This window comes from Homo sapiens, chromosome 2, assembly GCF_000001405.40.
Source record: "Homo sapiens chromosome 2, GRCh38.p14 Primary Assembly".
Classification (NCBI taxonomy): Eukaryota; Metazoa; Chordata; class Mammalia; order Primates; family Hominidae; genus Homo; species Homo sapiens.
Genome location: NC_000002.12, coordinates 104,434,786 through 104,446,932, shown reverse-complemented (window position 1 = coordinate 104,446,932; position 12,147 = coordinate 104,434,786). Strand labels below are relative to the sequence as shown.

Here is a 12,147-nt window from a genome sequence, read left to right as displayed (position 1 = left end):
GTTCTTGATTCTGATTTGATTCCAAAAAAGCCAAATAATAGAAACCATTTTGAACATCTATTTTGTGCACCTGTTGTGCTGCATTATGCTACTCTGCCATTTCCATTTACGTCACATCTCTTGACATGCCTTTCATGCACCGTGCTGCTTTGCTCAACAAAAAATCCAGGATGCTAGAAACCCATGCCATTCTTATTTTATTAACAAAATGGCAATGGCAAATGCTATTGGATGACGGCTTTGGATGCAAACAGGAGTACATCAACTTAACTCCTAGCCAGGGTGAATTTCACTCATGTTAAGTAGATTTAAAACAACTGAACAGCCTGAGGGGACTCCATAAAAGTATAAGATGTTAATATTGTTAATGATTCTGTTACGTGGGCAAAACGGTAAGACTTTGGTAGTTTCATACTTTTCTTGTTGCTTTGGTCCTAGGATCCAATGTGAGTTGAGAAACTGACTAGTTTCTTTTACTCCACTGTATGTGTGGCCTGGTTTCTTTGGGGATCCTGCAATTGCTATTTTTTAACTGTGGACCCTCACCTTAATTTTTATGTCAATATTATAACTGTGGCACTTTCAAATATTTCCTTCTAGTTTCTTAGCTTCTCTGTGTAATGACACCACAATTACAGTGACACCACAGACTCACAGTGACCAAAAAGTTTTAGTTGTGAGACTTCATCTGCAAGTGGACCTTAAGCTTTGCATAGCATCGACAGACACACAGATTTTGAAGCAATCAAATACCCAAGCCTCCTTTGCTGTCTGTCAGGTCCATTATCAAGCACCTTTCAAACTGTGCAGATACTGTCAATGCTCAGGTGTGTACAGACACGTTTACTCTATCAAATGACCATAATGACAAGACTTTCCGGCACTGAGATGTTATGGTACCTCTTTAAGGTATCGGGAAATCTGGTAGGCTTCTTCAGTGGCATTAATGAATCACATAACGTGGCTCTTTTAAAAAAATCTGACAATGATGAAAATTATCTGACTCACAGAATCTTAGCATGAGAAGGGACCTGTGAGGTCAAATCTGGCTCTGTCCTAACGTGGGGATCAATCCCTTCTTCAACATCCTTGACAGATGTTCTTCCAGGTTCTGTCTGAACTTTCCACTGAAGGGCAAACACCTGCTTAACAAAGCAATCTGCTCTATTTGTAAACAGCCCTAATTGGTAGGTAGTTTTCCTTTACTTTGAGCTTGAAATCTGGTCCTTGAAGCAGAACTGACTAACATGCAGAAAAGGTGATGCTGCCCATGACTGGCTTCATGGGTGTGGGACTTCTGCAGTCACGCAGGGCCCCATGCTGGGTTTAATGCTTTAGCATGACTGTCTTGAAACTCTTCATCATTGTTGAACAAGGGGCCCCACATTCCCATTTTGCGCTGGGCCCACAAATTTTGCAGCTGATCCTGACTCCAACTACGATTTAAGATGGGGGACTGTTAATGCTCTTTCAGGAGCGCTGATGTTATTTTTTTTTGGTCACATGTATATCTTGTCAGCAAAATTACATAATCTTTTTTGCACGTATTTGCAAAGCAGTTTTTAACTAGTGAATTTTATCCACTCTTGTGTGCTTCCTCCCTTGCATCTGCCTTCATCCATTTCATTGACTGTGGTGCCATGGTGGGGCAGGAATACAAAACTTGACTAAACCGTAGTCTCTGACGTTTAGTATTATTAAGCTTCTTCTTGCCTCACTTTTGAGATGCTGACTCAAATCCTCCCTTGTTAACCAAAAGTAGAAGGACATATTTTGACTAAGTTAATCAGAGGATAAGCTAAGAAATAGCATGGAGTCAAAACACTTTGTTTGAATGCTGATTCATGCTACTTACTGGTTCTGTGACTTTGGAAATGACACTTAGCTTGAATGCTTCCCTTTCCTCATCTGTAAAGGACAGACAGCCACACCCGGCCTGCCTATGACAGAGGGCCTCCTCTAAATTTGAATGAGAGGACTGCAATGTGGAGTAAGCTGAGGCTTTGCTGACCTTTGATGTAGGGTTTCTCAGGGATCAGCCTAGAGGCCAGCACATTTCAAAGGCCACAGAGACACACCTTGGAACGAACTCTTATCAGTTGGAGATGCTCACAGTGAATGCCGGCCTTGTCTTACTTCTTTGTTTTGCCAGCTGCTATTCAGATACTGCATATTACCACGCAAGCAAATGGAAGCCATTCCAGGAAGACTTCAAGGAGGAGCAAAGCTACTAGAACCTTTGTGGATACTAAGACCCACGCATGGGTTTGTGAGTGAGTCCTTTAAAGCTTTAACAGATGTTGGTAAAAGGATCCAATAGAGAGAAAGCACAATTCATGCCAACTGCAGCCAGGGCTGTTTGTGGTGTATCTAAGCGGGGGTGGAGCATACATGAGTCACAGGGAGAAGTTAGAATTCCAAGAGATCGCTGGAACATAAAGGATGTCCTGAAAAATAAACTCTAAACACTCTACCTGTCAACAAAACAATCAGTATGGGGGTATCTCTAATTTCCACTCCAAAAGATGACATCAAAATTTTTATGGGGCATGAATATTCTGTTCCCATTTGAAGGCCTACTTCAGCAAGTATGATGGAAAATACATTAAGTGGTAATGATTTTCAAAATATATTTTTATGAACAAGTTTATTATGAAATGTGAACTGTATTGATGCATAGCTTCAACTTAACTTTTCTTTTACCAGTCGGTTAAATAAAACTAAGCTATAATTAAATCAACTTATTTTTTGTTAATAAAAATTGAACATTTCTTAAAAGGTAAAAATAACATCCGTGTGCTTTGAAATTGAAATTATGTTTACATATAAACTAATATCATCTTAAAAAGTATATTACAAAGTTCAGATCTAGGAAAAAAATTATCTCCTTGATTGAACATAAGAAGTAAGCATTTGGAAGTGTTAATACTGGATATATCCATTGTGAAGGTAAATTTGAGTGACTGAAATATTTCCAGGAGTGTTGCTTTTTCTGCAGTGAGGCTTGTTGGTTTTGTTTCAGATAAATAACATTACTTAGATTCCGTATTTTGACTTTAAGATTCCCTAACTGATGATCTTGGAATTTCTCAGAATGTGAGCACACACGCATTCTTTAGGAGGCTGGAATCTTGACCAAAAGCAATTACTTTTTTTTTTTTTTGAGACAGAGTCTAGCTCTGTCACCCAGGCTGGAGTGCAGTGGCGCTATCTCGGCTCACTGCAAGCTCCGCCTCCCGGGTTCACGCCATTCTCCTGCCTCAGCCTCCTGAGTAGCTGGGACTACAGGCGCCCGCCACCACGCCTGGCTAATTTTTTGTATTTTTAGTAGAGACGGGATTTCACCATGTTAGCCAGGATGGTCTCGATCTCCTGACCTCGTGATCCACCCTCCTCAGCCTCCCAAAGTGCTGGGATTACAAGCAATCACTTTTATGAAAGCAAACCACTTGCTTTCTTATTTTGAAAAATTTAGCTTGTCACCTAGGCACCTCTTTTGTCAGCTTGGCCAAGAATGGAAAACAGATGTGGATGTGGTGTTTTTGCACTTCCTCTCCAGTTTGGTCTCTCTTTGGCTTATGATGTGGAAACTGCTGCGAGCCTTGGCACACTCAGAGGGTAGTGCAGTCACAGCGCCGCTTTCTGGAGGTTGGCCGCAGCCTTGTGGTCAGGACACGTTGTCAACTGCTGGGCACCTTGATCTCAGAGCAGAGGTAACAGTTGATCTCAAAATATCATTCCTGATAAATAACCACCAATGTGGGGCTTGTTTTAAGCAACAAGTTTAAGCAATAGGCTGAATGTGGCCAGGCGTGGTGGCTCACACCTGTAATTCCAGCACTCTGGGAGGCTGAGGTGGGTGGATCATGCTGAGGTCAGGAGTTCAAGACCAGCCTGGCCGAGATGGCAAAACCCCATGTCTACTAAAAATTACAAAAATTAGCCAGGCGTGGTGGCACGCACCTGTAATCCCAGCTACCTGGGAGGCTGAGGCAGGAGAATTGCTTGAACCTGGGAGGTGGAGGCTGCACGGAGCTGAGATCACACCACTGTACTCCAGCCTGGGCAACAAGAATGAGAGTCCATCTCAAAAAAAAAAAAAAAAAAGGTAATAGTTTGCATGTAAGTGAACTCTGAAACATATATTTCCTTGTGTATAACCACAAGTTTCTGAGGAAATTTTCCCCCCAAAGGGAAAAAAAAAGATTTTTTTTTTTTTCTGGAAAATATTCGTTTCATGTGTGAAACTAGTTGGTAGGAGTTAGGTATTTTTATTGACTGACTTAGCTTGCCGAAATGTGTAATCAAGAAAAAACATTAAACTCATATGAACAGAAAGAATTCATTGTGGGGAGGAAATGGGAAACCAGAATGGCCCACGGAACATGTAAGATACAATTGTAATCTCTTCTCTTAACTCTCCTGCTTCATGCACACACACTTGTCAAAGGAGAAATGGAAGCCCTGCATTATGCTTATCTCTTCTTGCCCCAAATTACTTTCTCTGTAGACTAAGGATTACTTCTGTAACCATTGGCTACTAGGCAGGTAGAGCAGAGGTGAAGGAAGAAGGGGCCTGTTGGCATTCGGCCTCACAGAGAAGACCATTTTACTTAATAGATACTTCCAGGACACAAGCTGTCTCTGCCCTCAGCTTGATGTTTCGACTCTCCGGTATCACCTCAAGATATGAGAGGCTATGGGGTGCTGCGTGTCTGATTTTCATCACTCACGTCTCTGGCTCCTCCCATCCCCTCAGATCAACAATTTATATACAGGTATGCCTTAGCTCATGTCATAATTTTTCTGGCTTTCTTTTGAAGCTAGATATTCTTATTTAACCCAGAATAATAAAGTATTCTGAAAAGACACTATCTAATACCATGTGGATCTAATATTCTTTCCCACTTTGTTATTACTGACAGAAGGCCTATCAAAGAGCACAAAATAATATTTCATTAAAATGAGAGGATATAACTGCATCTGCTCTAACATCATAATTTTCAGACATGTTCCCATTAAATTCAAGACCCTTTTCTGAAGTTGACTTGCAGGTATTGAGACGGGCTCCCTGGGGAACAAAGGGAAATGCCTACTCTTGAAGCAACCACTGATATTAACCTTTGTAGGACTCCGGAACATGGCAGGGTTTGTATCAATTACTAATCAGACCTGTTTTCTCTCAATTCCAAACTCTCTTTTTCATCTCCCGTTCCCTCTATACCTTTGTCTTTCAGGAATGAGAAAACATATACACCCACAAATATCCTGATAGGCATCTTATTACAAAGTCACTTGGTAGCCACTCTAATTTTTACTTTACTGAAAGTCAGAGTGCCACATGACATGAAATATTGTTTTTTGTTAAGACTCAGAAAGATGTCAGTTGTTCAGGTGGAAAGCGTATCTTGGGAACGTGTTTGTTGCCAACATAACTGCCTCGTTGGGGTTCCTATCGAAGTGTTTGGAAGGCTGCTCCTGATGAAAAGCAGAGGAGATATTTTTAAACCCTTCCGTTCATCACCTGGGCGAAGCCTGATCTGTGTGGGACAGGCCCGAGTGGCTTTGCTTCCCCTCTCTCCCCAGGCCGCACGGAAGCTTGAGCCTGTAAAGGCAACCAAGGTGAACTCACTCATTCCACACAACGGGGTGGATCTTTCACCACAGGGTGTTCTTGATAGTGCTCTGTCCACTCTAATTTTAAACATCTAAGCAATCGGAGTCCCACCACTTCCCTTGGAAGATTACCCTACAGTCTAATAGACCTCAACATTAAGAAGATGTTCAATTGGTAATAGGTAATCAACCTAAATTTCCCCTTTCTTAATTTCATCCCATTACTCTAAACCCTATCCCCTTGTTTCACCTAGTTCCTCACCTTCATTAGTGTTTACGCTCTCCAAATACTAATAGATAATAGATAGCTGGTAAGAAAAAAACACTTTCAGTCATCATTTAGCTGGCCCATAAATAGTTACTGCTTCTTTGAAAAATATGTCAGTTCCAAAACATATTGTTTTCCTTTAAAACCTTCTTTAATATTGAAAGATTCAAGGATTTTTTTTTTAATAAGCATAAATAGTCTGGAAGTGAAACGCACAGCAGTCTGTAATGGACTAGAGGGGATTAAATGCATCCTTAATGTGGGCGGGTGATAATGGTACAGCTACATTCACCTTCTTTTGCCCTTTGCACAGACACAGAACAAACCATTGAAACAATGGGATGAAGCCTTCTCCCCTACAGTAGTCTATTTCTATATTCATTCTTCTATTTTACCTATCTACATATATATGTATGTATGATAGTACTAACAATTTGTGTTACTCTATAATACATAAAACATTACAAGGTGGACTTTCAAGTGAGGACCAAGCCTTGTTTTATGCCTTATTAATCACACTACCTATTCTTTTTCAATTACCAATTGGGGTTCCTTCGAAGTGTTGGAAGGCTGCTCTGGATGAAAAGCAGAAGAAATATTTTTAAACCTTCTCCTCATCACTTGAGCAACACCTGATCTGTGTGAGGCAGGCTGGGTGGCTTTTCTTTTCCTCTCTCCCCAGGAGAGAAATTTGATTTAATAGCACTGTCTAAAGACCATGTTTTAGTAGCGAAACTTCAAAATAATTTATGTTTTAAAAATTGAGGTTTCTCTTCATTTTCCTTGAGTATCCCAAAACTCTCGCCTTGGTCTCTATGTAGGAAATAATTAGATCCTGATTGTGTCTAGATCTCTATAGTAGTGGCTTGGTTCTGCCTTTATTCTTCAATGTTATGATACTGCTTGATTCTTTTGAGTTTATCTTGAATTCTAAGTTAGTTTTCTGCTTACAGTCAATCTGATACATGTTTTACATGAATAAACATACCAATAGAATAGAAGAAACATTGCATAACTTTTGGAAAGTTACTCTATGGACAATACCCTAAAACACTTAATTCTGTAAGATGACATCCTTGTGTTATAAACTATTGGCATTCCTGAAGGCATTTATGTGCCTTTCTAGAAAATGTCTGGTTGAAATAGTGAACATTTACAACCGTTACCAAATTCAACAACACTTCAGTTTTAGTATGTGGGCACAAGTCCAAGACTAAGTGAGCATTCACCATCTCTATTCTTCCTTCCTTAGACTACACAGTGGAAGTTCTCAAATGTTATACTGATTTGTGAGAATTTTTCTCACACGTTCATAGGTAGCATAGAATACGCTTAAGTTGAAAACAACAGAAGTGAACTCTCACAAACTTAAGCAGAAGGGAGGATATTGACTAAGATAACACTGTGGCATTTCAAGGAACTCGACATGAGTTGACCAACCAGGCTGTGGAAGGAGAAGAAAGGCAGCTGGCTTCTAGGTCTTCTGGAATAAGAAATAAAATTCATGTGTCTTCTGCTGTGCTGATGTGAATGCACTCAGTTTCAACAAGCCCCTGCAAGTGGCCTTCTATGTTTCAAATTTTAAATTTCTCAGAGAGAGAAACTGGTTCTGTTTGGGCCCCTGTTGAGCGTGGTCCATGAACTAGGCCAGGGATTTAGACTTGAGATATTGGCAGTACTACTGGGACCAGCTTTTGTGCATCAAATATCCCTTCAAGAAATAGAGACATAGCTGTGAGAAATCCATACACTGCAGGCACCTTATCCTCTGGAGTTAGAGTTATATTGCATGGTAGGTACTGAAGAAGATTAATGTGACTTATTGCAACCAATACTTGTTTGATGCTCAGATTGGCATATGAAGTTTCTAACATTTCCTTGGATCACTGATGGCAGACATTTAAGTGAAAATCTAGGATCTTTTAAGTGTAGCTGGGTTACAGAATTTCTATCACAATACCTCTTGTATATAAAATAAAAATAAAATTTTTTTTTTTATATTGGTTGCAGCTTATCTAGGCTCCTTCCCAAGCCCTCAATCAGTAGTGAATGAGGTAGAGAAGAGAAATTAATTAAATTCCCATCAAGTTTGGAGCTGTCAGGCCTGATAATTTAAGCTGTCTTTCTCAGTTGGTGTTCATTCTTCCATTTGGATAAAATGCCCAATCTCTTATGTATTCACCCCCCTGCTTCTTCCCCTAAGATGATGTCCTGGTGTGTGAGGAAAGGTGAATGCAATTAATGGATCCTACTGGCTATGAGAGTAAGTAGGACTTCTCAGATTCATGTGGAGCCCTTGCATTATCTTCTGACACTCCCGTTGCTGAATCCACTTCCTATCTGATCTCTAGAAGCCTGCTTGCATTCCTGGCCACAGTCTGGAGCTGGTGAGCTCATGGTCCTTTACTTTGGCTTGCATAGAGTGATAGGGAAAGAGTATGCAACTCCTCCTGTGGCTGTGGTCTTGGCTCAGGTCTCTTTGTCTGTAGAATTCTGAGTCCCCGCCATGAGTTCAATCCAGCTCACTGGCCAGAGGTCCATCCCCAGTGGCTGCTGTGGCGCTGTCTTATCCTGACAGCAGCACCCATGCCTCAACTAACCAAGAGTAGCCCACGAAGCTTAACCAGAGGGCCTCTCTCTGCCTAAATATGTGACAAGGACAATGGCCATTTTGATGTGGGCTTTGTAAGAAAGGTTGGGTTAATTCTTACATGTTTTGAGGACAAGCACTTATGAAGACTATCTAGGCTATCAGCTTTTTCCAGGCTTTAAGATTTGCTGGACATGTCCATGAGATGAAATACTGAGGTCTAAGATTATTTCCATGTGTGGACAAGACACACTTTACAGAATTTCTCTGATGAGATGATACAACTTGTGATCTGATAGGTCAAGTAGAAGTCTTCTCTCCCACAGTAAAATTAGATTTGAAATTGTTCAGTGACTAATCTCACCCCAATACCTGCCCTAATCTGGTGAACTATGGGGATTTCCCAAGGCTTCCTAATCCTAAAATCTGAGTGTTTGATGTTCTTGATGTAGTCTCTGGATCTCAGAAGTCATCTATTATTACCATATACATCTTAATAGCAGGGAGTTTTTCTCTAACTAAAACTGGTACAATAAAAGATCTTTCTATCAAATATAACTATTTGTATTAAAACAACATATGCAGTTGTACTCCAAGTCTAGCATCGTGCTTTGAGAAGTAACTCGAAGATGTTTTGTCGGTAATACCTCACCCAAACTCAGTAGCTGGCTTCTGACTAGCATTCTCTTTATTGTTTTCTGTTTTAACTACCTTGCCTACGGAAGTCAAAAATGAATTTTCCACATAACTGACTTTTTTAAAATGCTGCTTCTGTTTAGTCTTTCCATATGGTATGTGTTCTTTGTAATCAGAAAGTAGTTACAGAGTATAAATAAACAAATACATGTAAATACATAGAGTTCTTTTTTTTTTTCCATACTGACCTTTCCAGAGAATGTTATGATTCTCTTTCCTCTGCCACTCATGACTCTTCCGTGGCTGGATCTGACCTGCTTAGAACTCATAAATCCTTAACATTTGGGGGGTGTCTATTCAGCCCAGTTTGCCTGCGTCATGTAAGTTATTTCCTTTGAAAAACGCACATACATTTTCACTGGGTCCACAGGCCTGGGGAGTTTATATGGGCCTAAAAGTGAGAATTGGTGTCTCTCAAATCTCTTTCCTCCCTTCATGAGTACTAAGAGCTAGGTGATGTGGAGCCAGGCTCCTGCTGGTACAAGCGCCTCCCGCTCTTCTATGTGCTCCAACAGCAATATTCACACGCTCGTTCATTCCCTCCACAGAGAATACTTGAGCACCCTCACTGTTTCCAAGACAGGGTAGGGTAGAAGGGTGGATAGAAAACTGAATTCTCTGTCTCTCGCCACAATTTACATTTCACTCCAGCTAGTGTTGTTTCTCTTACTTGGAGAGGGGTTCAGCTAATGAAATACGTAAGATCAGATTATGGTCATCACAATATTAGCAAACAAAAGGCATAGAAACTAAACTCACATGCCAGGAGTCACCATGACAGTCTTTATCTTCAGTATTTCTATCAGGTTATTATGTGTTGTGCTTGCAGATGCATTGAGCTATCATGTGTTTGGAACATATGGACTGAAACTTGGAAGACGACCTGCATTAGGCATAACAGACACCAAAAGCAGAGATATACAGACCTATGCTAAGGCATTGTGGAGTCCATCTTCCCAAATCACATGATAGCTTAAATTGTACTATAATAATTTGCCTCCTATAGATGGAGTTCAAGAGGAACCCATCAATTAATAAAAATATTATATCACTTAACATAAACCTTTGGTGTATATTACATGTATGATATGATAAATCAAACTATACATGGTATTACATGTATGATATGATAAATCAAACTATAGTTTAGAACTTTGCTAGCTATATTTGTTGATATATTTATTGATTTTAATCTTCAAGATAAGCTTTGTGACTGTTTAACAGCATCATTGGTTCAGTCTCTGTATATGAATATGTTAGATGTATTAGATCTATGTGTATATATTTATACACATATACACACACATACTGTAAGCATATATGCCTATACCTTTTTTATTGATAAATAAATCTTCTTTGAGCACCTTGTGTTCCAAAACTAGTGTTTGCATTTGAATTTTCTTAAAAAGTACTTTATTCTTGCTAAATAATTGTATTTAAGACAGCCGGTGTAGCAGCATAGCAGAATTTACTTCTTAAAACATTCGCTTAGTTACCTAAAGAAGTCCCTAAAATTCCAACACATGGATCCTATAAAAGCACTGACAAATTGCACAAAAAGCAAATTTGGGCTTTTCAATATCATCAATAGCTATGAAACAAGAAAGTGGCCCTGATGGTAAGGCTACAGCAAAAAGACTTACTGTTGGGTGATCCTGGAAATCACAGTCTATGGATCCAGACCTGCCAATCATGGCCCACACTGCCATTTTCCTCTTCCTTATGTGAGGCTGTGGCATATTTACCAAATGACATTTCGTGCTGTTTTCACACTATTGTTTCTTCAACGTCTTCTTTAACTAACTTTCATTTTGTTCTTCAATCTGTTGTATGTAATAAGTAGGGAGTCTATCAACAAATCACTAAAGGTCTTGGTGACTCTTCTCTCCCAAAGCGCTTAGCTAACAGGTGCAAAATAGTGAACTGAGAGATTTTGTGGTGAAAGGATAATTTATTGTAACGGCAAAGACCTCAGCCATTACATTTCAGAAATGGCATCTGGAAGTACCCCTGGAGCACCACTCCCCTCAAAACTCTGGAATGGCTACAACATTATGGATTGACAAAAGTTAATTTTTGACCCTCTACAAAGTTACATGTTGTGACTTATTTTGTTTTTGTTCTGGATGAGTGGGGTGAGGTCCCTATGAAGCTAATTGGTACTTTTCATCTTTTAATCTATATCCTATGTGGAATTACTTAGGCAGAACCCCAGAGTCAGAGTGAACTTTCCTTTCTGCTCCTCTCTTAAGCAATTTATTTGTCGTTTACTCTATCTCCACTTTTACCAGTTTGCTGTAATTTAATTTAGATTAATGATATGCCAATATGTGAGCCAGGGAAAAAACTTCTTTCCTTTATAGCACCCTATGAATTGGTCAAGGGCAATGACAATTTCAAGGAGAAATTTGGGCTTGAAAACTGAGCTCCCACCACTGTCAGTCCCCTGGTGCTTCGCCATCTTATCTAAAGCTTCTTCTGAGAACATCACAGCAGGTTGTCCCTGATTGCTAGTACATTCTCCTAAAGGTGGGACAAGTGTAAGAAGAGCATTTGACACAACCCAGTCTCTCATGAGATGACTCCCAATGAAGGTCATTGTTTAAAGCAGAGCCATATTTAGCAGCTCTTCAGGAAAACACCACAATGCATTTTATAAAACATACTAAGATGGCAAAACAGTTCAGTCCCATTGGAGGAGAGTCTTTATTCTCTATTTCCCCCCCTTCTCTAAAATGGGCGATTGCTTTTCTGCCAAAGCGGCTCAAAGGGCCACAGAAGCTAAGGTCCTTCAAAGCTGTTAAATGCATCTTCAAATTTACAATAAAATCAGCATGACAAATCTTCCAGTAAAATCTCTGGAGCGTCACAGCAGCGCCTATACAATTTTCCTTTCAGTCAGTATTTTAGTATTCCACACCTTGAGAAACAGGGAAAGCCAATGTGGGCGAGGAAAGCTAAGCAAAACAAAAACCAA

At 39.9% G+C, this 12,147-nt stretch overlaps 1 long non-coding RNA gene across 1 annotated transcript in view; it reads right to left on the bottom strand.

Annotated features, from left to right (window-relative positions):
• LINC01102 (long intergenic non-protein coding RNA 1102) overlaps positions 1-12,147 on the bottom strand; it is a 78,411-nt gene that overhangs the window by 65,825 nt on the left and 439 nt on the right. The gene's annotated exons all lie outside the window — the stretch shown is intronic.